Source organism: Homo sapiens, chromosome 2 (genome assembly GCF_000001405.40).
Source record: "Homo sapiens chromosome 2, GRCh38.p14 Primary Assembly".
Lineage (NCBI taxonomy): Eukaryota > Metazoa > Chordata > Mammalia > Primates > Hominidae > Homo > Homo sapiens.
In genome coordinates, this window is record NC_000002.12 from 168,613,853 (window position 1) to 168,641,732 (window position 27,880).

General features: G+C 36.9%; 1 protein-coding gene across 2 annotated transcripts in view, besides 2 other annotated features; it reads left to right on the forward strand.

Annotated features, from left to right (window-relative positions):
• Positions 1–27,880, forward strand: part of CERS6 (ceramide synthase 6) — a 318,863-nt gene that overhangs the window by 157,581 nt on the left and 133,402 nt on the right. For both annotated transcript variants that reach the window (NM_001256126.2, NM_203463.3), the window contains exon 4: positions 17,133–17,190. In NM_001256126.2, the coding sequence (NP_001243055.1) occupies positions 17,133–17,190 (58 nt within the window). The remainder of the gene's footprint in view (positions 1–17,132; positions 17,191–27,880) is intronic.
• Positions 687–1,186: an enhancer, noted in NCBI's record as "H3K4me1 hESC enhancer chr2:169471049-169471548 (GRCh37/hg19 assembly coordinates)". NCBI's record gives its function as "activates a minimal SCP1, AML or CMV promoter by ChIP-STARR-seq in naive H9 embryonic stem cells {active_cell/tissue: H9 hESC(naive)}" and the evidence as "EXISTENCE:reporter gene assay evidence [ECO:0000049][PMID:30033119]".
• Positions 21,564–21,693: an enhancer, noted in NCBI's record as "active region_16736". NCBI's record gives its function as "activates an Ori minimal core promoter by ATAC-STARR-seq in GM12878 lymphoblastoid cells {active_cell/tissue: GM12878}" and the evidence as "EXISTENCE:reporter gene assay evidence [ECO:0000049][PMID:35858748]".

Consider the following 27,880-nt stretch of genomic DNA (forward strand, 5'->3'; position numbering starts at 1 on the left):
AAAGGGCCCTTGTTATTTAGAACATGAGGTGCTGCAGTATGAATATAGCTGATGTGTGAGCAACTCACAACTCTTGCAATCAGCATGCAGCTCATATGGCATCAGCCAGTCAGCTAAGAACTTCATTGTGTGCATTGTAATGGGGTTGGATTTTGTGAAATGGCTTATTTTCTTATGCAGGAGTGCAAGTTCACTGGCATTTATTGGAAAAATGTAAGCATTGACAGATTGTTAGGCTGATTATGGCCCCTTCACTGAGTGAGGAAGGAACAAGAGCATCTTCTCAAATAGAAAATACAAATTATTGGTCAGAAGTCTGTGCAACTACATTTGTTTTCAATTGGATGGGAGATCCTTGACATACATGGATTTAACTTTCATACATATGTGCATACAAACGTATGTGTATACACATATTTTCATAATATACATATGCATATGTGTGAACATATACACATGTATAAACATCTGTGTCTACACATACTTGTATTTTCTTTACAAACAACTTAAAACTCCAGGAGATGAGGCATGATTTTAAATGTCTGCATTGTGTGACTGGTATGTCAGGGCAATTGAAAGAGCCCAGCTGGCTTTCACAGCTGGGAGGCTGGTAGCCTGGGGCAAGTTCTCAGCCCTGCTTGCCCACTGCCTGGAAACAAACTTGGTGCTGTTGTGGGGTGCATGGTGGGAGTGACAGTGGCCTTTTGGGTTGTGTGGAAGCTGGGTGATGCCTGTAATTGCTGGCTTTCCCCCACTTCCCTGACCAACCTGCATGACACAGCAGAGGCAGCCATAATCTTCCTGGGAACATAACTCCATTGGCCTGGGAACCACACCCCCATCCCCCATAGCAGCTGCAGCAACTCCTGCCCAAGGAGAGTCAGAGCTCAGACGTGCCTAGCCTTGCCCCAACCTGATGGTCCTTCCTGGCTCACTCTAGTAGCTGAAGACAAGAGGCATATACTCTTGGGAGTTCTAGGTCCCCATCCACTGCCTGATGCTCCCTATATTACCACAGCTGATGCTCTCTTCAAAGCGCCACCTCCTGGTAGGAGGCCAATCAGCACAAAATAGTTCATTAAACAACCAAAACTTAAGGAACCTCACAGAGTCCATTTCACCCCCCCTGCCACCTCCTCTGGAGCTGGTACCCATAGCTGAGAAATCTGCAGATGGTTCACATCACAGGACCCAGTGTAGACAACCCCCAGCACCAGCCCAGAGCCTGGTAGACCTGCTGGGTGGCTAGATCCACAAGAGAGATGACAGTCACTACAACTTGGCTCTCAGGAAGCCACATCCCTAGGAAAAGAGGGAGAGTACTACATCAAGGGAACACCTCATGGGACAAAGAATCTGAACAGCAGCCTTGAACCCCACATCTTCCCCCTGACATAGCCCACTCAAATGAGAAGGAACCAGAAAAACAATTCTGGAAATATGACAAAACAAGTTTCTTTAACACCCCCGAAAAATCACACCAGCTCACCAGCAATGGATCCAAACCAAGAAGAAATCCCTGATTGACCTGAAAAAGAATCCAGAAAGTCAGTAATTAAGCTAATCAAGGAGGCACCAGAGAAAGGTGAAGTCCAATTTAACGAAATAAAAAAAAAATGATAGAAGAAATGAGGGAAGAAATCTTTAGTGAAATAGACAGCATAAATAAAATACAATAAAAACTTTAGGAAATACTGGATGCACGAAAGAAATGCAAAATGCTCTGGAAAGTCTCAGCAATAGAGTCGAACAAGCAGAAAAAAGAGTGTCAGAGCTTGAAGACAGGTTTTTGAATTAACACAGTCCAACAAAGACAAAGAAAAAAGACTAAGAAAAAATGAGCAAAGCCTCCCAGAAATCTGGGATTACATTAAATGACCAAACCTAAGAATAATCGGTGTTCCTGAGGAAGAAGAGAAATCTAAAAGTTTGGAAAACATATTGGGGAGAATAATCGAGGAAAACTTCCTTGGCCTTGCTAGAGCCGTAGACATCCAAATACAAGACACACAAAGAACATCTGGGAAATTCATCACAAAAAGATCATCGCCTAGGCACACTGTCATCAGGTAGTCTAAAGTTAAGACGAGGGAAAGAATCTTAAGAGCTGTGAGGCAAAAGCACCAGGTAACCTATAAAGGAAAACCTATCAGATTTACGGCAGATTTCTCAGCAGAAATCCTACAAGCTAGAAGGGATTGGAGACCTATCTTCAGCTTCCTCAAACAAAACAATTATCAGCCGAAAGTTTTGTATCCAGTGAAACTAAGCTTCACAAATGAAGGAAAGATACAGTCTTTTTCGGTCAAACAAATCCTGAGAGAATTTGCCATTACCAAGCCAGCACTTCAGGAACTGCTAAAAGGAGCTCTAAATTTTGAAACAAATTCTGGAAACACATCAAAACAGAACCTCTTTAAAGCATAAATCTCACAGGATCTATAAAACAAAAATACAATTTAGGAAAAAAAAATAAAAATCCAAGGTATACAGGCAATAAATAGCATAATGAATGCAATAGTACCTCACATCTCAATACTAACATTGAATGTAAATGGCCTAAGTGCTCCACTTAAAAGATACGGAATGGCAGAATGGAGAAGAATTCACCAACCAACTATTGCTGCCTTCAAGAGACTTACCTAATACATAAGGACTCACATAAACTTAAGGTAAAGGAGTGGAAAAAGACTTTCCATGCAAATGGACACCAAAAGCGAGCAGGAGTAGCTATTCTTATATTAGACAAAACAAACTTTAAAGCAACAGCAGTTAAAAAAGACAAAGAGGAACATTATATAATGATAAAAGGCCTTGTCCAACAGGAAAATGTCACAATTCTAAATATTTATGCACCTTACACTGGAGCTCCCAAATTTATAAACAGTTACTACTAGACCTAAGAAACGAGATAGATGGCAACACAGTAATAGTGGGGACTTCAGTACTTCACTGACAGCATTAGACAGGTCATCAAGACAGAAAGTCAACAAAGAAACAATGTATTTTTACTATACCCTGGAACAAATGGACTTAATAGATATTTACACAACATGCTACCCAACAACCACAGAATATGCATTTGATTCATCAGCACATGGAACCTTCTCCAAGACAGACCATATGATAGGCCACAAAAGTCTCAATAAATTTAAGGAAATTGAAATTATATCAAACATTCTCTGAGACCACAGCAGAATAAAAGTGGAAATCAACTCCAAAAGGAACCTTCAAAACCATGCAAATACATGGATATTAAATAACCTGCTCCTGAATGATCATTGGGTCAGAAATGAAATCAAGACGGAAATTTAAAAATTCTTCAAACTGAATGACAATAGTGGCTCAACCTGTCAAAACCTCTGGGATACAGCAAAGGTGGTGCTAAGAGGAAGGTTCATAGCCCTAAATGCCTACATCAAAAAGTCTGAAAGAGCACACACGGACATTCTGAGATCACACTTCAAGGAACTGGAGTAGCAAGAACAAACCAAACCCAAACCCAGCAGAAGAAAGGAAATAACCAGAATCAGAGCAGAACTAAATGAAATTGAAACAAAAAAAATTGCAAAAGATAAATGAAATAAAATGTTGGTTATTTGGAAAGATAAAGAAAATTAATAGACCATTAGCAAGATTAACCAAGAAAGGAAGAGAGAAAATCCAAATAAGTTCAATTAGAAATGAAACAGGAGGTATTACAACTGACACTACAGAAATACAAAAGATCATTCAAGGCTACTATAAACACCTCTACACCCGTAAACCAGAAAACCTAGAGGAGATAGATAAATTCCTGGAAAGATACAACCCTCCTAGCTTAAATCAGGAAGAATTAGACACCCTGAACGGACCAATAACAAGCAGTGAGATTCAAATGGTAATTAAAAGCTTAGCAACAAAAAAAAGTCCAAGACCAGATGGATTCACAGCTGAATTCTACCAGACATTCAAAGTACGATTGGTACCAATCCTATTGACTCTATTCCACAAGGTAGAGAAAGAAGGAATTCTCCCTAAATCATTCTGTGAAGCCAGTGTCACCCTAATACCAAAACCAAGAAAGGACATAACCAAAAAAGAAAACTACAGACCAATATCCCTGATGAACATACATGCAAAAATCCTTAACAAAGTACTAGCTAACCAAATCCAACAACATGTCAAAAAGATAATCCAGCATAATCAAGTGAGTTTCATACCAGGGATACAGGAGTGGTTTAACATACATCAGTCAATAAATGTGATACAACACATAAACAGAATAAAAACAAAAATCACACGATCATCTCAATAGACCAAGAAAAAGCATTTGACAAAATCCAGCATGGCTTTATGTTTAAAACCCTTAGCAAAATTGGCATTCAGCAGACATACCTGAATGTAAGAAAAGCCATCTATGATAAACCCAGAGCCAAAATAATACTGAATGGGGAAAAGTTGAAAGCATTCCCTCTGAAAACAGGAACAAGGCAAGGATGCCCACTTTCACCACTTCTCTTCAACATAGTACTGGAATCCAAGCCAGAGCCATCAGACAAGAGAAAGAAATAAAAGGCATCCAAATCAGTCACAAGGAAGTCAAACTGTGGCTGTTTGCTGATGATATGATTATATACCTGGAAAACCCTAAAGACTCCTCCAAAAAGCTCCTAGAACTGATAAAAAATTCAGCAAAGCTTCTGGATACAAAATTAATGTACACAAGTCAGTAACTCTCGTATACACCAACAGCGACCAAGTGGAGAATCAAATGAAGAAATCAACCCCTTTTACAGTAGCTGCAAAAAGAATAAAATACTTAGGAATATATCTAACCAAGAAGGTGAAAGACCTCTACAAGGAAAACTGCAAAACACTGCTGAAGTAAATCATAGATGACATAAGCAAATGGAAACACATCTCATGCTCATGGGTGGGTAGAATAAATATTGTGAAAATGACCATACTGCCAAAAGCAATCTACAAATTCAGTGCAATTTCCATCAAAATACTACCATCATTCTTAACAGAACTAGAAAAGCAATCCTAAAATTTATATGGAACCAAAAAAGAGCCTACATAGCCAAAGCAAGACTATGCAAAAGAACAAATCTGGAGGCTTCAAACTATACTATAAGGCCATAGTCACCAAAACAGCATGGTACTGGTATAAAAATAGATACATAGACCAATGGAACAGAACAGAGAACCAGAAATAAAGCCAAATACTTACAGCCAACTTATCTTCAACAAAGGAAACAAAAACATAAAGTGGGGAAAGGACACCCTATTCAACAAATAGTGCTGGGATAATTGGGAAGCCACATGTAGGAGAATGAAACTGGATCCTCATCTCTCATCTACAAAACTCAATTCAAGATGGATGAAGGACTTAAATCTAAGACCTGAAACTTAAAAATTCCAGAAGATAACATTGGAAAAACCCTTCTAGACATTGGCTTAAGCAAGTTTTTCATGACCAAGAACCTAAAAGCAAATGCAGAAAAAACAGAGAAATGGCTGGGACTTAATTAAACTAAAGAACTTTTGCATGGCAAAAGGAAGTCAGCAGAGTAAATAGAGCACCCACAGAGTGGGAGAAAATCTTCGCAATCTATACATCTGACAAAGGACTAACATCCAGAATCTAAAAAGAACTCAAACAAATCAGCAAGAAAAAAAAATCAAACAATCCCATCAAAAAGTGGGTTAAGGACATTAATAGAGAATTCTCAAAAGAAGATATACAAATGGCCAACAAACAGGAAAAAATGCTCAACATCACTAATGATCAGGGAAATGCAAATCAAAACCACAATGTGATACCACCTTATTCCTGCAAGAATGGCCATAATAAAATCAAAAAGTAATAGACGTTGAGATGGATGCGGTGAATAGGGAACACCTCTGCACAGCTAGTGGGAATGTAAACTATTATAGCCACTATGGTAAAGAACTAAAAGTAGAACCATTTGATCCAGCAATCCCATTACTGGGTATCTACCCAAGGAAAAGAAGTCATTATGTGAAAAAGATACTTGCACACTCATGTTTATAGCTGCACAATTCACAATTGTGAAAATGTGGAACCAGCCCAAATGCCCATCAATCAACAAAGTGGACACAGTTTATTTATCCCCTCGTTGATTGATGGGCATTTGGGCTGGTTCCACAATCCATACACACACACACACACACACACACACACACACACACACACACACACACATATTTATATATATATGATCTAATACTACTCAGCCATAAAAAGAAATGAATTAATGACATTTGCAGCAACCTGGATGAGATTGGAGACTATTATTCTAAGTGAAGTAACTCAGGAATGGAAAACCAAACATCGTATGTTCTAACTTATAAGTGGAAGCTATGCGGATGCAAAGGCATAAGAATGACACAATAGATTTTGGGGACTCAGGGAAAGGATGGGAAGGGTGTGAGGGATAAAAGACTACAAATTGGGTTCAGTGTATACTGCTTGGGTGATGGGTGCACCAAAGTCTCACAAATTACCACTAAAGAACTTACTCATGTAACCAAATAACACCTATTCCTCAAAAACCTATGAAAACAAAAAAAGTTTTTTAAAAAAGAAAAAAAGTAGAATGAGCCTTCTTAGCCAACTAGGACCCATTCCTGTTCATGTTAATTTAATTTAATTTTTTCTTCTCATCGAATTCCCCTAACAACCTTAAGAATTAGGTATTTTAGTCCCCATTGTCAGATAAAGAAACTAAAGACATTTTACTCTATTGTTAATAGATATGGATTTAGTAATAAGTGATGGATTCTACCTCATCCCTGTGGAAGTTCTGTTACTCAGTCTCGTGTTTTGTTATGAGACGTGTAGTAGAGCCTGCAGCAGAAAACTGACACCAAGCAGGGTAATAGAGAAGGGGAAATTCACCTTTTTTTTTTTTTTTTTTTTAAGACAAGGTCTTGCTCTGTTGCCCAGGCTGGATTGCAGTGGTGTGATCACAGCTCACTGCAGCCTTGACCACCTAGGCTCAAGTGATCCACCCACCTCAGCCTCCTGAGTAGCTGGGATTACAGGCACATGTCACCAAGCCAGGCTAATTTTTGTATTTTTTGCAGAGATGGGGTCTCAGTATGTTGCCCAGGCTAGTCTTGAACTCCTGGGCTCAAGCAGTCTGCCCAGCTGGGGAAATTCACTTCTTAAAATCAAATGTACATGCTTTTTGAAAACTTAAGAACTTTGGCTTTAGTTTTCTCTTTTCCTTTGCAATCACAGTATCAGTGCTGAAGAAGTGACTTTTTGTCTTCAGTCTGCTTTCAGATAAGAAAAAAATTGCATAGAGCCTTGATGTTCAAGGGACACATGACATTAGTTTGACTCTAAATAATAATAAACATTTGGCTACTTTTGCTTGAAGCACACACTAAAGAATTGTGACCTTTGCCAGTGCATGTTCCGAAGTCATATTGACTGAATTTAATTTTGGCCACAATAGATCAATATTTTATTCCCTTTTTTATCCTTACACTAGACAATTGTTAGTTGGAAAATTCTTGCTTATCTTTTTCTGATTCCCACAAATTTTGGTCATTCAAATGAGTGTAAATAGACTTTAAGCTGACAATTATAAGATTAGTGTATATTCAGGGGAATTCTAGAAGTAACGAGAGGTATTTTATAGGCAGAATTTCACCTAATAGAATGACATTGAATTTTTTGCAGATGTATTTTGAATAGATTATAGGGACTAGGGCTGATGTTGGGAAGACTAACGGGAAGGGACAGATACCATTGGTGCTGAATTCTACCTTGCTGGGTGCTTGACAAGGGTAGTCAACTTGGAGAGAAAAGAATGGATCCCAATAAAGAACAATATGGGCTAGCTGTTAATGGAGCCTATGACCAAAGCACTAAAAAACAAAATCAAAGTTAAATCTGTGAAATAGAACATAGTGGATTTAGAACTATATATGCATACAATATCTGATACACTTCCAATGGCAATTTTAGCCCTAAAAGCATGAATACAATGACAGGAAAACAGGAAAATTAATTATAATGCTTAGAAAAGGATGGTTGGAATGATGGTGTAAAGAACAAGTCATATGACGTTTCTAAGTATGAGAGAAGGCAAAGACGTAGTCATTTAATACATTCTGAGTGAGCATAATTCTTGTGTACAGAATCTTTTAATAATGAAATATTTTACAGTACAGAGAAAATGTAACAAGCACAGAGACTAATACAATAAAAACCCACCCAGTAATATTTGATGCTGTTTTAGAGGATGGAAATATTACAGAATCAGCTAAAGCTCCCCATATACCCTAGAAATGTCCAATCTTTTGGCTTCCCTGGGCCACACTGAAAGAAGAAGAATTGTCTTGGGCCACACATAAAATACACTAACACTAAGGATAGTCATTGAGCTAACAAAAAATCACAAAAAAATCTAATAATGTTTTAAGAACGTTTACAAATTTATGCTGGGCCGCATTCAAAGCCGTCCTGGCCTGCATGTGGCCTGCAGGCTGTGGTTTGGACCAGCTTGCTGTATACCTTCTCTGTTCTTTACTCTTCAAAAGTAATGTCTATCCTGAATTTAATGTTTATATTTTCTTGTTGTGTTTAAAACACTACATATATGTGTGTTTATATATATGCATATATATGAGAGACATATAGCATTCCTTTGCAAATCATCAGACTTTCCATAACTGCCTAATATATTTTTTGAATCAATGATTTAATGAAGACTCTTCTACCCAAATTAAGTTCACCTTTGACTGGAGAATGAAAAGTGAATAGGTGAATGGGTTTGACTTACCTCCAACCTCAAAGACTTTGCATTGATAATTCTGTTCCCTTTCAAACAGAAAGAGCTGAGCCTTAAGCAAATGAAGAAAACTATTTGGAGTTACAGAGTTAATTATTGATGGAGGTGGAAATAGTTTCAGGAAATGTTTGTCTTAAAGCAAGAACTCAAGTCTGCATAACCTGTCTAACGGATGAGTAACATCTTTTCCCCTAGCTATCATATTTCTTTGGACATTAGTTTCTTTAAACTAATGAAAGCTTGAAAGCTACTCTAGAAATTTAGATTTTATGTCAGAGTTTCCAAAAAGGAATCTGTCATCTCACCTTTATTTTATTGTTTAAGACATATGGGATGTTTTTGAAACTACAGTCAATTTGCTTCCTCCCCAGTTGATGAACATCTCCATTGAACTCAAGTAATAAAGTCAGTGTCTCAGTAACAGCTCGAAAAGGAGACTACTGACCTAAAAATCATGTGACAACTTTTTAACAGTGTTTACAGATGAAACCAATCAGTTAACCAAGACTTCAAGCCCATTCCTCCCTTCAGAATGTGGTGTCAGTTGAACTCATGGAAACAGTAGAATAGTGATTACCAGGGATAGGAGTGGGGGAAAGAGGGAGATGTTGGTTGAAAGATAACAAACTTGTAGTTATAAGATGAATACATTCCAGGGATCTAATATATAGCACAGTAAGGTGACCCAGGTTTAAAACTAACTAGATTATGGGAATCATTTCACCAAGTATCTGTATATGAGTTATCATGTTGTACACATTCACATCATACAATTTTCTCTTTCAGTTATACCTCAGTAAAGCAGGAAAAAAAAATGCCGTGTTACAATCTTTAGAGAGAGACACTTTGGCTAAAAGCTCATGGGACGAGAAAGAATTTTGTATCTGAATCATTAACGTGCTTGAATATGTCTGATGGCTTTGTTAGACTTATTAAATACAAAATAATTGAATATTTTGTTCCACAAATCAAAATTTCACCAATCTACCTAAACAAACAAAGGCTGAAGCTGGTGACTTTTAAGAACTTTAGATGTCAATCTGTAAAATTTGATATTTATACATTAAAGAATACTATACTCAAAAAATAGGCAGTATATCAGGTATCTGAGTTTTTTTCTGACACTTGTGGCATAGTTACCCATTTCTAGTCTTGACTTTAAGGTCACAGGACCCCAAGATGTCGATGGAGACCTGGTGTGAAAAACGGGGACACCTGTTTTCTTTCACAAAGTTACTTGTTAAATGTAGAAAAGTTTACAATTCCATGGGTCTTCTATCTGTAGAATAAGGTCATAGATGGGCTCTTAGGGACCCTACCTAGGCTGTTAAGAACAATGTCTGCTTCAAGAAAATTTAAGAGTGCAGGATTAGATGCCTCTGATTTATGTGGACAGAAATATACTGATGTTCCTGTAAAACACCTGTAAGACCGAATCGTTGCATTCAGTGAGCTGTTTTTCTGCTAGTATACATTCATGACACCAGCTCTGAATAGGATTTTAGCTAAGTCATTTCACATTGAGTGTGTGCTTTACGTTATTTAGAGAAATGAAGAGTAAACAAAGTCTTATTTGCCCTCCTACCTTAGCATAGAAAAGGAACTGAAACAGAGATGGTAGCAGCAGAGTAATGGTATTTATAGTCAAAATAAGATTTTAATTTATGTGCTAAAATTTTTAATATTTAGTAGTAAAAACCATGATCTCTGGAGTCAAATTGCTTGGATTTGAATCCCAAATTCACCATGTACTTTGGCAAGTAATTTAAACTTGCCATCTTATAGTACGATGGGAATGATAGTGGCACAGTGTATCTATCCCACAGGGTTCTTACAAAATATAGGTGAGTTAATATATGTAAGACTCTTGTGATGGTATCAGGTATAAAGTAAGTACCCATGAAATGCCAGCTGTTACTGTTTTGTAAAAATAAATAGGTGACACCCCCCACCCCAAGAGAACCTACTATAAGTAAAAGGACTTCACAAAGATGACTACTTCTATCAAACTTGAATCCACAATTACTTCATGTCCAAACTTTGTGGAAGGGAATGTGTCACATATAATACGGAAACCTCATTGGAAGGTTTTTATAAATTCCATTGTACTTGACTGGAAAACTGATAAAAATGAGTGTAATATGTCTATCTTGTAGCTTTGTTCATATCTCATGAAAGCTCTGAGTTTTGAGTGGAAAAATAGGCACTTAATCTACTTTGTTCTTAGAGGTAAAGTGATTTATGTATTTTAAAGTAACACTAGATTGAAGTCTATATTTGTTCCTAAATATATTCTGCTCATTTGTCCAACTGTATAATTTCACTTCATTTGTAATAATTTGTGAGATACAGCGCAGTGATTTATATTGTGTTAAATTTTATGAAAGAAAAATTTTAATGTCATAGGTATAAGCCATACTTCACCTCTCTTCATGGATTTGATAATAAATTAGTTAATCTTTTTATTTAGATGATGGAAAAGCTGAAATGAGAATGTCTCAATTAATAAAATCGATTTCAGAATCAAAAGAACCATATACTGATGTTTTGGTGCTCTAGCAATGTATCTTAGTTTTATACACAATAACAGTTTTTTCATTAGCTATACCATTCCAGAGTTGACTATTTTTTATTCCAAATTTCTATCAGATTGATTGATCACGTTAGAAGTTGAATTGGCAATATATGTCATCTCTCTCCCCTTTTTTGTTCATACTTGCACAGTTCCTGGAAGTAGTTGATAAATTATTCGATCTATTGTGGTGTAAATATACTTAAAAGTCAGTAAATAAAAGGATCACTCGTACTCCTAATAAAAATTTAGATGTCAGTTTAGGAACTATTCTTTGCAAGCCACTGTTTGTGGTCAGAAATGCAAAGATAAATAAAACTCAGTCTTACTCTACTTGGAACTCACAAGCAATTCAAAGGCTTGTGGCTGTAATCAAAGAGAAGGAGAGGAGGTAAAGAACAAGTCAGAATTACAGTGTTTTCCATGTTGCAGCATCCAGAAAAGGTGGCTTTATGGAACAACTAGAATTTGACATAAATCCTGAAGGAGCCACAGTGGCTCAGCAGGTAGAGAGAGGTGAGTGAGTAGGACAGAGAAAAACCCTCTGGGTAATAATTGTTAATAAGCTTAATATTGTTTTAGCTACCCTGGTATTGAAAAGAAGCGTCTTTTCGGTGCTCTTCTATCCCCAGATTTGCAAGCAGTCAGTTTTCATTCATCAGGGTAGAGACAGTTCTCAATTATGCAGCATCCACTAATATCCACCAGGTTAGAAACATCATTTTAGCTGAATACATTGTCTTCCATTTTTAGGTATAAAATCAGGAAGAAGTAGCATAGCTTAATGGTTAAGAGTTTGGATGCTGGAACCAAACAGCCTAGTTTCCAATCCTGACTTTCTCTCTTACTAGCTGTGTGGCCTTCAGCAAGTAACTAAACCCACTCTGTGCTCATTTCCTCATCAGGGAAAAAAAAATAAAGATGTTGATAATAATGCCTACCTTGTTGTGTGGAACAGTTTCATTAAATGACTTCCTATTTGTAAAGTGCTTAGAAGAACTCAGGGGATAGAGGAAGTACTATATAAAAGTTGTAAATCAAACGGCCCTCGTATGCCTGCCCTGGTCTCCCTAGAACATGTGCTGAGTCGTGCGGGGTGGTGGCTGCTCTGGATGATTCCCCTGCTTCTGCTGCCTCTGTAGTTTACAATCCCTTGCCTTTTGGGTGACACCTGGCAACAAGACCTGAGACCTCAATGCTCTGATTTCCTGCTTCAAATGCACATTTTAGTAGTCTTGATTTTAACAAAGAGCCCTGTTCAACCTTGTTGTGTAAGGACAATAAACCAGATTCAGTGGGTGGTAGTTTTTACTAGCTTCCTATTCTAATTTTCAGGTTTGAAAGATATAAAAGCCTTCCATATCCAAGCAAATGTAGTGGAACACATTGACGTCTCTAGGCAAAGCAGGGTGCTCTAATTCTGTAGAATTTGAGAGAGGGCTTTAGAGTCACTGCTAGGTTTGTGTCCCAGTTTTTCCATTTACCAGGCGTCTGGCTTTGGACAGGCTAATCCCTAGGCTTCTTTTTCCAATACTGGTCTTACAAGGTTGCTTCCTTATATGGAGTCTTTCTGGGAATTGGTGGTCCTTCTGAGCATCCTCCACAGATCGTTTAGGATTCAACTTCTGGTTCCACTAGCTAAGCCAACATTCCTCCCCTCCTGCAGCTTTCCAGGCCCTGAAACAGGGTGGTTGTCTTCACTCCAGTTTTGTGTCCCTGGGAGTTTATGCTTTACTGAACAAAATCCCTCTTTTGCCCGTTTAGTGGTACTTTCATAAAGACACAGAGGTAAATTTATGTGTTTAATTTACCTTGTTTAACCAAGAGTAATCTTTAAGTGTTTAAAGAAATAGTCTTAGTCTATTTCTGTTATCAAAAGAAGTCTTTTGAAATTTTCCCGTAAGAATGAATTTAATGCTTCCTTTCCTCGTTTTCATTAATCTAAGAATTCATCCCTTGATTATTATTGCTAAATATTTTGTATTAAATTATCCCTTAAAAACAAGAGCATTTAATTTGGCAATGAAATTTAGGGCAATGATTTATGTTGCTAACCATAGTCTTTTTATGCTAGAATTATACTTTTTGAAATATTATTTTTTGTTTGTATATTGGTGGGTCAGAATAGGCTGAAGTAATTTTTTCATAAAGGTTAATGAATAATGTATTTTTAGAGCCTCTGAATATATGAGAATACTTTTCATATATTCCTCTGCAAATGAGAGGAAGTTTGCCTGGCAGAAGCTTTCTTTGATTGAGTCTTCCCTTTCTTTTGGCACTTAATAATACAGCAGAGAACTGTAAGACCAACTGGGTATTTGTTCTTTTGATGGTGATTTGTTTTCATTTGATTTGTGTGTGTTGACTTGTTGTTTTTATGCTTGAACACTGAAGTTTTTTTTTTTTTTATTGTAAACCTAGGATTCAACATTTTTGTCAGAACATCGCTTTGAATTGATATTGTTTGGAATGCAATTTAGTTGTCTTTTTTTTCAGTTCACATTTTTTTTAGTCTTTTTGTCTTTGATTATTCTATTTTAGTTCTTGTATTTCCTCAGAAACAGCTATAATTAGATTTGTTTTCTAGTCTTCCAGATCTAGGATCTTTTTTCATCTTTGGTTCATTTCTCTGGCCTTATGGGGGTGTTTACCCTCTATGTAAATGACTTAATTTTATACTGTATGTATCTGTGTTCCTCCCCTCCAGTGGATAATAATGCTGCACTTCATTTTTCAGACTCTGTGCAATGCTCCTTTATTCCACCTATAATCTCTTTATCTTACCCGGCAGTCTTTTATTGACTTACAACTTTCTGTTTTGTTTCAAGGGGTCATATCTTCTTGTATTATATTGGCAATGCCTAAAACTTTCCTAAAAATTACTAATGATTCCTCTAGGAAGTCATTTTTAGGAGGCTGTTCTTCCTTTGAATCTTTAACATGCCGTTTTCTTTCCACATTTATTACTACTTAGTAGACCCATGCTGCCACTGAGCTGTTATTTTCATTCCCGAATTTAGAGATATTCATCTAGACCTGCTCACAGAGGGGATGTGTGGATTGCCCTCAGCCCCACTCTCTCTCCTCCTGTTTGTTAGTAAAAGTCCTCTTTTAGATCTCTGACCTTGAAGCAGGTTGATGTCTATAGACTTGGCCCCATTTTCAGTGAAAGTTTCATATAAAGCAGCTATCTCCAATAGCCTTGTTCTTTGTTGCTTTGTATGTGGATTGTCTAAGAACGCCAACCTCCAGAATGCAGTACCTTCATAGGTCATCTTGTCCCTAAATCTGCCTTTCTGTCACTGAAACTGCCAGATTTCACAGTACATCTCCTTCTTCCCAGTTGGCTTTTGAAAGTAGCCATCACTAAGATATGGGGTGGGAGATTCTGTTGCTGCCTCAAGAAATGTACGTAATCATTTGTGGTAAAGGGCAAAGTTTCCGACTGATACAGATTTTGCATTTCTATACAAGATGGCAGAAAGTGGAGACAGGGTGATATGCAGATGAAGATTTCCCTACTTCCTTCAAGGCTTGTGACTTTTCACTGTTAATCACATTTTTTACATCTAATTTCATTCTTTTTCTGTTGTAAGAACTCTTCCCTGATTCTAGCAGTAGGTTGAAGGTCATATCTTCCTTTTCATGGGTGCATGAACTTTATTATTTATCTCTTTTACAGGTATCTTAGTAGAAGATTGGGAGGGACTATATCAGGGACTGGTAGCTAGCATTTAAAACAATAACATATGAAACTCCACAACTTAAAGAAGTGCTTTTTCAAGTTGCAAGATGCTTGAAAATTTTGCTTTCTGCAGATATTTTGTGGAAATAAACTCTGCCTTGTAAATATTCATCACAAGTTGCTATTCAAATGATGGAGGCATCAGTATTCCTATAATAGAATCTATGTGTTATGAAAACTGGGTCATTTTAGTGATTAAATAAAATGTAGATACATAAATGATGGTAGGAATTCCAATGACTTCTGTAAAACTTTTTTATACATAAAAACTGCCTGATCACTACCTACTAACAAGGGTCTTAGAACTGAAACAGCTGTTATAAATAACCTAATCTCGGAGTTGCAAATTCATTTGCCTCCAGGGGCCAGACAAGGCAAATGCATGAAGTAGGCTAGTTCCATACTGGAAGGATTGGGAGGGACTAGAGAGAAGTAGAGATAATACTTGTGCTACCAAATCCTTGAGGCATCATTATAGCACAAACCCAGTCTCCCATTATAGAGATGGAACTGAGATCAAAGGATATTAACAGATTTGCCCAAAGTTAGTTGAGTCTGTCTTGACCAGAACTGGGTACATAATTTGCAGAATCCAATGCAAAATAAGATGCTGGGTCCCTTGTTCAACAACTATTAAGAATTTCAAGATGGTAACAAAGCATTAAATCAAGCATGAAGTCTTATGTGACTGCCTAAGTCACACACCCATGAAGATATCCCTGGTTTTAATTTTTGATCTAGAATTTGTACAACAAACAGAAACTTGTTATCACTCTCACCCATAACCATTGAGAGATTAGTAATGGAGATGGAGTTAAAATTAAGTTCTTAACTTTTTTTCTTTTTTTTTTGAGATGGAGTCTCACTCTGTTGCCCAGGCTGGAGTGCAGTGGTGGGATCTCGGCTCACTGCAAGCTCCACCTCCCGGGTTCACGCCATTCTCCTGCCTCAACCTCCTCAAGTAGGTGGGACTATAGACGCCCGCCACTAAGCCTGTCTAATTTTTTGTATTTTTATTAGAGACGGGATTTCACCGTGTTAACCAGGATGATCTCGATCTCCTGACCTTGTGATCCACCTGCCTCAGCCTCCCAAAGTGCTGGGATTACAGGTGTGAGCCAACACGCCCAGCCCTTAACTATTATACTACAATAAGTTAATTGTCTTTTCTTACAAGATAACTTTTTTTTTTTATGATATCAGGAATGCCATTTAGTGACATCCAGCCAACTTTTAAAGGCGTAGCTATTCATACTCGGAAGTACAAGAAATAAAATTGGGAATTTAGTACTAGAGTAAGAGTTTTTTGTAATAAGTATACACACACACACACACACACACACACGCACACATCTTATATTTTAAAAGACTTAAAACATTTCCATCATTTAAAATCAAAAGAAAACTTAAAAATTTTTCTTCATTAGAAGTGAAAGTCACAGCTAGACCATAAGTTTGGCATGGTATAAAATTGTCATTTATAGTTGTAATTTGATTTATTTAGATTCTATATGCCTTCCTTTAGCAACATCCACAAAGATGTTGATATAGTTGTTAAAAGACAAAGTGAAATTCTTACCTAATTTTAAAATATTAACTCTTTTAAAACAAATATGAACTTCAGTTAACTCCAGTTGTTAGTTTTGAATTATTTGTCTGATTCAGATATTATACCTTCATATTACCAAATCATATCCCTTCATGAGTGATAAACAAGAAGAAGTTCACATGTTGGAGAATGAGAAGATGAGCAGTTGGGCAAATATTGCAATTAACAATGAAAAAATTAAGTTATGAATATAATACTCAAAATATTTTCTATAAGCCATGTATACCAGTGTATGGCTTCAGCTAGCACTGAAATTGCTCATTAAGTTTAATCCTTAGTTGAGGTAGGGGGACAAATTTAATTTAATGAACTCTTTTCCCTCCCTTACATATTTCAGTATATGCTGTGAATATATAAACTGAATGTCACAGATTTTTTTTTAACCTTCTACAGGTGGAGATTTTCATTTTACCTTTATGTATTTACCTACGGAGTCAGATTCCTGAAAAAGGTAGGATCTCTCAAACTATTTTACATGATTCTTATGTAAGTGTATGTCTATATCCTGGTTTTTTTTTTTAATGTGTGACTGTAATAATATTTTAGGTAATCATATCAGGCTTCCTAAGAATTATTTGTGCATTTTCATTTGACTTACAAAAATATTTCGGATGTTGCTAAGTCCCATAGTCACTCCAGTGGGTTATTTATTACTTTTCAGGCATTAGGAAGCTTATAAAATCCATCTGATGCTTTGAAAGAAGTTAGAGTTTCTACATCAATCACACAATTTGAAAACATGAATTGTTGCAGCATGTATTACCACTGTACTCTTCACCAGTAGAAATAACTATATATATTATATAATATATATTATATAATATTATGTAAATATATGTAAATATATATTTATATTATATATTATATAAAAATATAATATATAATATATAATATATAAACTATATATTAATATAATATATATAAACTATTATATAAATACATATTAAATATATTATATTTTTAATATTTATATATTAAATATAATATATATTTAATATTTATATATTAAATATATAATATATTTAATATTTATATAATATATAGCATATTTTATATTTATATTATATATAACATTTTATATTTATATTTATATTTATATATATTTAATTTATATTTATATTATATTTATATTTATATTATATATAACATAATTATATATATTTTCATATTGTATATAATAAAGAAATGTATATTTGTTATATATAATATATATTATATAATTTATTATATATTATATAATATATATTATATAATATATATTATATATTATACATTTATTATGTGTTATATAATTATATATTACATATTATATATATAATATCTGTCTCTCTCTCTCTCGCCTAGTTACTAACAGGGCAGCACTAACTGCTGGTGGAAAATTTCATTTCTTTCATAAGATCATTTCCCCTGCTGTTGCTTTTACTATAATCCTGCATGAACTGAGGGACCGAAATCTATGAAAGTAATTCCTTGTGGCTGCTATAGTCTTTCCAGGTTATTTCAGTTCTTACTGGAACTACTGTCGGGTTAGACTCCTTAAATAAAACCCTGTGAAGGCCTATCTTCTCATAGTCGTACACATATTAACAATAGTGATTTGGCATAACATGGGGAATTATTTTTAAAAGTTCTCTATAGTATTAGCCTCCAAAGTGATATCAGTGTTATCTTTATTTATTACAGAATTTTTGTTAAAATTGGGAATGCACCAAATTTCATGCCTTATTAATCTTGTAAATATTGACATGGAAATTTTAAATACATTTAAGATTTTAAAATCTGGGTTATCAAATATTGTCCGCCTGTGGTGAATTCTATTATAAATAGTGGTTGTTTCCCATTATCATATTGTTTTAGAGGATTGTTTTTTACTTGTAGTCTTTTCCTTTGGTAACTGCACTTATTTTCACTTAATAAGACCATATGGCCCAGAGGCCATTTGAATCGATTTAGAAGGATGAGTTTTACTCTGTGGGGTTTCTGTGTATGAAGAAATTCTCAACTGGAGTAAATAAACATGGTTTAAACGGCTTATTTTGGAATTCTGTTCTAGTTTTCAGATTTACTTATCTAGAAAAAATAGAATGACTATAGCGCTTTTGTGCTTATAACTTTACTACCTTGGAAGAGGAAACAGCTTTGGATGGAATTTCAGCTGATGTGGAGGAGGTGTGCTTCATGGGAAGGTCGGGTTGTTAACTAAGGTCAAGGTTTGGAATTCGTGCCTGGTTCTGTTGGTGAGGGGCTTTGTTGGTGAGAAAGGAAAGAGAGGATGAGCACGTTTTTGCTCTTTTCCTTTAGGCCTGCTGGATATAGCCTCTCTAGCTCTCATACGGCAATGCGGTTATCTGTCATCAGAACAGGAAACACTTTGACGCTTAGCTCTGGTTCACTCTGTCCCTAAACAAATGGAATGGAATGAGAATAATTTTTATCCACCAGTCCTCAGTGAGTCTGCACGAGGCAGTAAGAGGAACTGTCAGTAGAGTGTTTCCTTGGAAATTATTTTTTCTTAAACTAGACCAGTTTTATGCCAATTTCCTTTCAACTGCCTCTGGTTATAACAAATGCTTTTTTTTTTTAATAAAAAAAAAAAGGAAAGGAAAGAAGAACTAGACACTGTTCTTCTTGTTGAATTAATTTGTGTGGGAATTTCTTTCTTTAATTCCATCCAAGCAGCACTCAATTTTTGATGAGCTGTGTAGTTTAGTCTTACTCATAATGCGAAGTAGAAATGCATACATAGAATTCATCTGACTGAAATAGCTTTGGAGGACTTCATAAGCCATCTTGTCCAACCCTCTCATTTCACAGCTCAGGAGGCAGAAATCCAGAAGAGGGTAGGTGGCATTCAGAAGGTCACACAGTTTATTAAAGGCTGAACCTGACAAGAAACACATGCTCCTCTTTCTTATTCCAGAGCTCTCTCCAGTTGGCAAGCCTACCCTAACTGCCCTAACCTCAGCATGATTTCTGAGTGACTTCCTTCTTTGGGTAGCAGGCTTGACCTAGCTGAATCATTATTGCTTATTTGTAGAACTTTAAATACTTCTTTTAATGTATATTTTAAAAATATTTTTATTAACTTTCTTGGAATGGACAATATGTTTGCCCAATCTAAACTGAGACAAAAAAAATTAAAGATGCTGCATCAGAAATAATCAAAACAAGGTAATTCAAATCTGTAGAATACCTTAAATTTCAGAAAATAAGAAGCACATAGTTCTATCAATACAGCATAAATTTGTCTTTGTGTTCAGATTCTTCCAAAAAGTACAGTAGGAAAATTCTCATAATACCAGTGTAGTGGATCCATTTTAAGAGGTTAGAGGCTACAGCTGCCTCTTACTTCTAGAATCAAAAATATGGATTATTACATGTGCTGTTAGAAGAATCCCTGACAGCTTGCACTGATCGGTTTTCTTCTGTCTTTAGGTCAAATGAGCCTGTTGTGTCTCATTTTCTATGGTGGTTTAATAAGCACCTATTCTACCCTAAAAAATAGGGAAGTAGACACTACAGAACAACCTTACAGACATGTTAGTGAACTATTCAGTAAAGTTACTGCTGTGTTGGTAGGAAATATTTAAGCAGTTGAAAGTAAGCCTGACAATATAATCTTATTCTATAATTGCTGTATATAAGAGAGTCTGCTCATACTTATAATTAGCAGAGTCAAATACTTTTGTTAAAGAAGACCTAGAAATACTTAAGGTGCTCTGAAGTCCTAGCAGACAGTGTACACATACAAATTAACACATTTTCCTAGGTTCTATTTTTTCTTATAAACTACATGTCTGATCATGTGGGGTTTTTGTTTGTTTGTTTGTTTGTTTTTTGAGATGGAGTCTCGCTCTGCCGCCCAGGCTGGAGTGTAGTGGTGCAATCTTGGCCCACTGCAACCTACCCCTCCTGGGTTCAAACGATTCTTGTGCCTCAGCCTCCCAAGTAGCTGGGATTATATGCCTGTGCCACCATGACAGGCTAATTTTTATATTTTTAGTACAGATGGGATTTCACCATGTTGGCCAGGCTGGTCTCGAACTCCTGACCTCAGGTGATCTGCCTGCCTCGGCCTCCCAAAGTGCTGGGATTATAGGTGTGAGCCACCACACCCGACACATGTGGTACATTTTGTATCACAATTCATTTCGCACACACGCATGTATGTAAAAGAAAAGTTACTCAAGATATACCTATGTCTAATTTCAATATCAGTCAGGGGTCCATAGGAGATAGAAACCCCAGAAGTTAATTTTAGGAGTGACTGTAATATAAAGAATCATTAACCAGAGGGAACCATCAAGCCTGTGTTGCTCAAAGTAAATTGATCTACTGTTTACTACCAGTCTGCAATGAGATAAGAAGCTTGCACCTGAATGTAAAGCAGCTCCTCCTGATTTTTGAAAAAGTCTATCTATGAAGAAAAGTTAGCTGAAAACAGTGTGCTTAGTGATCCAGTTAATTTACCTCGAGTGTAAGCTCCTTATGTTGTTGTGGACTTGTAACAGACATTTCAAGGACTGGGCCTCACCCATTAGCACCCCACTGAGGTATAGTGGAGGTAGTAATAGCAGGAAGGCACTGCCACTGTGAGGACAAGGGGATTACAGAACATAGAGGCTCAAAGGAAGAGCCATGGAGCCAGAGAAGACTTCTGACAAGGGGACACTGACCAGCTGGTGTCCCTGAGGGAGCATGAGGGGCTTGGCTCTGGGAATGTGGAAAAACTACAAATTGGAACCAGCTGCTGCTGCTGGAATGAACTGCTACTGCTGGAGTGAAGATGCACTGCTGGGTGGGTGTGGAGGCAGGGGATGAACGTGATGACAAGAACTAGAAGCAAAACAGAAAGGAGCAAGTCCCATCTTCCTCTTGCAGCCTTCCAGCCTTCCTCAAGTGCTTCTAAGAAGCTAAACTTGGCAAGGCACCAGCTCCTTAAAGCCAGCAGAAGTGCGGCTTGCACAGTCTCTGCTCTGAGACCGGCAGCAGTATCTCAATAACTAGCCCAATTGTCTCATATTGCTGCATTCTGAAATGTACTCTGATAAATCTTATTATAACCTATTTTATTACATTTTTAAAACATGAAGGTTGCCCCATTACATTGACTTCATGACTAACTGCTGGGTGAAAACTTGTGGTTGAGAGTGCCCCGTCAGACTGAGTCCTTTGCCCACTCCCTTAGACTTTCTGAATCCAACCTTAACTAAGGTGCAGCCTTTCATTCTTCATGCGGTGTTCTCAAATTCAACACACAAAGCCACGAAGTGTTCCCTGGTTTCATACTTTGAGATGTTCTCTTTTGTTTATTGCTTAGTTCGGAATCTTTCTGAAATGGGAACAAGATTGTAATTTTTTTTGCCTATTTTGAGACTGAAAATAGAATTTGTCTAGCCATTAGAATATGAGTCCATTTAAGATTTTGTTCTCTGTGTCATTTTAAAAATCTTAAAATTGCTTGGACTATGTTGCTGTTTAAGGAGGCTTTAAATTTGGTTTTAATGAAAATGACCCCCATGAAATACTTCTATAAGAAGTGCACATGATATATAATACTAACATTGGGAAGGGACCCTAAAGATCACCTATCCCAAATTTCCCATTTCAGAAAACAAAAACCAATTTCAGAAAGATGAATTGACTTGCCCGAAGCAAAACTGGAAGCCTGTTTTGCTGTCTTTGGACTGTCTAGGTTAAAAACAATAACAACAACAACAACTTAGATAAGTTTTAAAAAGCTAGCAGTTTAAGTAACTTTTTATTAGTAAATTTACCTTACTAATGAAAACTAAAAGTCACATCAGTATAGAATGATAAGTTGGAAGTCAAGATTGAGATTTCAGTCTTGACCCTGCTCATTATACTTAATGGAACCTTTGCTCTCTGAAAGCTCATTTTTCTCATCTGTAAGATGGGAAAAGAGAGGTGGTCTCTGCTGGGAATTATTTGTGTAAGTCCATTGTCATCCCTTCACATAAAAAATACTGTTCTGTTGCTGCCTCCTACTCCGTAAGACCCGTTGTCCTGGCTGTGCTTCGATGCTTACAAATAGGTAAACATCTGCAACAAAAAGATCTTGAATAACGAAAGGAAATTCTTCAGTGCTGCTGCTTATTGCATCTTCCTTTCCCTCTTCTACCTACATCTACCCTCTTGCATATGTTCTGATTCTCCTCGTCCCTTTCATTTACCCTACCTCATTTTCCTTCTGTGTTGGCTTGTGGCTGGCATTCTATCTGAGAGGGCATTCCAAGGCCAGTGAGAAACCAAGGATAATGTGACTGTGAGGCCCTGTAGAGGCCGTCAGAACGCCTGGGTTATTGAATTCTGCCATTAATCAGCTTTGTGACCTTTACGCAAGCCTCTTAATCTCTCTTGGATTTAATTGCTTCGTCTCTAAAATCAGTAATGTAGACTATCCTAACTAATGGCTTTCAGCTCATATCCCATAATTCAGTAAAGAATTTGAAATTGCTCATATGTATGGTGAGCTGGTCCCACCTCCTTGGAAGGTGGCACAGTAATGCAGAATAATCTTAAATATCTTCTTATATTTTGACCTGGCACTCCAACTCCTATGAACTTATCTTTAATAAAAAATTGCCAGGCACGGTGGCTCACGCCTGTAATCCCAGCACTTTGGGAGGCTGAAGCGCGTGGATCACGAGGTCAGGAGTTCAAGACCAGCCTGGCCAACATGGTGAAACCCTGTATCTACTGAAAATACAGAAAAAAAAAGTAGCCAGGTTTGGTGGCACACGCCTATAGTCCCAGCTACTCAGGAGGCTGAGGCAGGAGAATTGCTTGAGCCCAGTAGGCGGAGGTTGCACTGAGCTGAGATCCTGCCACTGCACTCCAGCCTGGGGCAATAGAGTGAGACGCCGTCTAAAAAAAAAGAAAAAATTACACAGGAACACTAAATATGGATGTGTGAATGTGTGAAGTTGCTTATTACAACTTGTGATAATGTGGAGGTGATGGATATTCACTAAATGTATATGAATATATACACATACATAACATAGCAAATCCAAAGCAGAACTTAATGTCTCATATTAGAAGAATATTTTAATTAAATTATCAAAGTGACAAAATGACATGCAATCTTTTTGAGAAAAACTATAACTATTCTTAAAATATTTAGTAGAATGTTACATGAAAGTAACAATCTCATGTATGTGTTTTACTGTGGTAGTAATGTAATGGATAAATCACAGCAGTAGGTAAAAATGAAGACTCCTTTTACAGGTAGAAATTTGGAGGTTTTTTTCAATATATCTTTAATACTTTATTTTCTATTAAATAAAATTAACTCTGAAATGTAGGAATTGGAATGGAAAAGACTATACATAGGATTAGGTATACCTAGGTCATAAAAGAACATGAGGTTGTGAATTTTAAAGAGGAGGAAATAAAAATTAAAAGTCGAATTCCATTTAAATGGTGAAGAAATAGAAATGTTTGGTCTGAAAAAAAAAATTCAGCTGTTTATGTTTGCCTAGTTCTCACTGTTTTGCTTTATTTATCTGCTACTTTCAACTGAACTCATACTAGCAAAGCTGAGAATCTGTGGTTGCTGCATTCTTGGTAGTTTTGGATCTCATCAGAAATCATCTCCTAATTTTCAGACTGGGTATAGAAATTCCTTTTTACACAAGTTGGTATCATTCCACAGAACAATTTTTTCTCTCCTTCTATGTTATGAATTTATTTTCTGCAATGTAACTAGCAGACCATCTATATACTATTCACATTAAGAAACTGGTTGGACTAAGAAAAATGTTTGAGGTGATGAATATCCCAGTTACCCTGATTTGACCATTGCACATCGTATCAAAAAAAAAAAGTATCAAAAATAAAACACATTACCCCCAAAACATGTACAACTACTATATATCAATTAAAATATATAAACAAAAATTCAATTCAGGGATTTTTTTTGAAGCTAATTTGGACTTTATATTTTGACATTTAAGGAAATATACTTTGACATTGTCCATTGCCCAGAATAAATTAAAAACTTTTTCAGATGATAAAGGTATTTCATCAGCACTGAGATTATTGCTTATAGCTTCTTGTTTAGTGGTATGCCATACTTTGATTTTGGTTTTATAAAATTTTCTGTAAAGAGCATTGAGAAGCCTTTCCTCATGTTGTTGCTGCATTGTGTTTAGGCTGTGTCTTGAGAGAATGGCATTTCAGATTGACAGCTTTCTTCAGGCTGTGAGGTATACAGACTTTAGGACTTCATAAAGCTGAAGTATAGATTTTTGGGGAAGATATTGGGGATTCCTTGAACTCCAAGAGCAAATGGTGGCTGCTGCATTCTGAGTTCTTGCTCTTTTGTAATTATACAAGAGTTTCTGGATTTGGTGTTTTATAAAACCATAAATCTTATTTTTTCAGCTCACTTGATAACATAGCAACTTTGTAGAAACTCTAGAAATAAAAAAAAAAGAACGCATGTCAGAGTCTACCAAAATAACACTCACTTAAATATGATTTTCATTATTAGACAGTCCCCTGAAGGCATAGACTTCTACTCAAAAGTTTAGAGTTGAACTTGACTATGAAAAACATTGGTCTAATTTATATGCTGTGACAAAACTAGCTTTACAGGCTTCCTTTGGCCGGAGGCAGTGCCTGAGAAGGGAGTTGCATTAGTATTCACCTCCTGTTTCTACCATGGGAAATAGAAAACTAGTAACTCCCAGAAGATTCAGGTAATTTGATAGGAAGTATTGATCCATGTATCAAAATCTGTACCTGCACATTCACTCTGCATTAGCTGAACCATCATCAGAGACCTCTCTGACACAGAAAGAAAAATGATTTACTGAATTTAGCGAGGAAAGCATTACTCAAGTGTGTTTTTTCTAAAATCTGAAAGCTAATGGCGTTCACATACCATGATCACCATAATAGAACATTTTCCTCATCAACAACAATAATGAAACAAACCAGATGTTCTTTACTTAAGAACAGCTTTCTGGGGGAAGTAATGAGATGTTCTACTTCTGCTTGTGAAGCCAGTGTTCTTTCCCAGCAGGGAAGGGCCTCATCTTGTCTGGGTGTGTTTGGGATGGGGGTGGGGTGCTTAGGACAAGTACTTGATGTGGAGCAGAGCAGCAGGAATTCCGATTGGACCAGCTCATGCTCTGATTATAGCTCTGTGTGTGGTTCCAGGGGAACTCTAGTTCAGGGAGTATCTGGTACTGGGTCTGCTGTCAGGTGGGACAAATGGCTTAGTGTTTGTGCTTTGTTTTGTTTATGTTTGCCTCCCTTCTCATTTATTAATGCACATGAGAATAGGCCTGCTTGACAGGGGCCGTTGCTGTCATTGCTTAGGATTTATTAGTCAAAAATCTGGTGATACTAGTTATCTTGGAATGACTATTCCAAAGCACAGACAAGGTGACCATTTTGTGCCCAAGAAATGTAGGCTTCCACAAGGAAGTGAAGAGTGAAAAGGATAAAGTAACTTTTTCCCTCATAGAAATTAATCTATATTGATAGAGGTAGTTTTACCTGAGTGGGGTAAAGAGAGACTGCTGGAGTGAGTGCTGGCAATGTTCTCGATATGGATAGTGATGTAAGTATTTACATATCTAGACATACATCAAATTTCTGTGCCCTTAGGACCGTGTACTTTACCTTAACAACTTAATAACGTCTGTTAATCCTATAGCTGCCATACAAAGCAGTCCCTGCATGTTGCTGAATGGAAATGTGGGCATAAAGCATTCAAGTAGGAAAAGCTGGGATTTAAAGGGTGTTCCATTCCTGGCTATTTCCAAAGAGCTTCTGTTCATACTGGTGGGAGATACTGATCTCTGTTCATTTGTTCATTCTTTCTTTAAGAATCTGTTGAGCACCCATCCTATGACAGCAGTGATTGTGGGCACCATGGATGAAACAGTCTGAGACACTAACCTTGTGGTGCCAAGGCTATTATTGCTCTTTTCCCTGGTATCATCAGTAACATGGGAGCCTAATTCAATTTAGCAGACATTTATTAAGCATCGATGCACAAGACATGGTGTCAGATGTAGGAAGCTATGGCTCCTGCCTTCAGGGATTTTGTAATCTAGCAGAGAAGTTAAGCTTTGTCTAAAAATACTTATATAATATGAGGCTTTGTGATAAGTGGAATGTTGCATTAAGGAGATGGGACATTTTAGCCAAAGAAGGCTGAGTTTTCCTGCTTGTCCTCATTCTAAAAGATACCTGGTGTTTGTGTGGAAAGGGCTTCCTCACTTTCCTTCTCCTTGACCTTAATATATAGTCTCTCATCTTATTAACTCATTCTGTACCACTAACCCATGTCTTGTCTGTATTCTCTTTCCATCTTCCTCCATATACCCAGAGTGGTGACTGAGTGGAGTTGGGAACTAAAGATGATGGTGGAGAGTCATTTCAGATCTTTCCTCCATCCCTTGGCCCAATCCACCCATGGATTGCTGTAAAATTACATCCTTAATCCTGGCCAGCAGAACTTAACCACCAGATGTTGATGTCACTATTCCTTCATTACCATTTAACCCTTTCACAGACGACATGATTGCTCAGACCACTTGTCCTTCCCAGCCGCCCCATTTCACCCTTCTCTGCACCACTTGCCTTACTTTCAAATACCAGATGAGTATTACTGTACCGGAAATGTCATTTTTTTAGACGTGTCTTTCAATTAAACTGATTGTAATCAGTTTAACCGATTTGTTCTTGAGAGTTCTTCCCTGGCTTCCCATAGAAACTGCACGGAACAAAGTCCCCAGCTTTTCCTCTGGACGTTAGCAACTTTGACAAAGGCAAATGAAGCATAAAACTGTCACCTAGTCTTTAGACTTCCCACTGCCCCACATATTCCTGTCCCAGGCAGCTGGATGCATGGCTTCCTCAGGGTTTGCTAATGTAGCATCACGTACATAGAATGACCGTCCTCACCTTTACCTAAAACCTACCGGCCCAGGTTCTTTGTGGATCCCCTCACCATTGAACACCTATAATGTTAAGCCCTTTAAATCTCTATTGTATAGGTTGGAAGGTTGTTTTGCATATATGTAAAGCACCTTGTTTCGTCCCTGAGCCACGAGAGGTGTTCAATAAATAGGAATTATCATTATTACCATACGGTATAA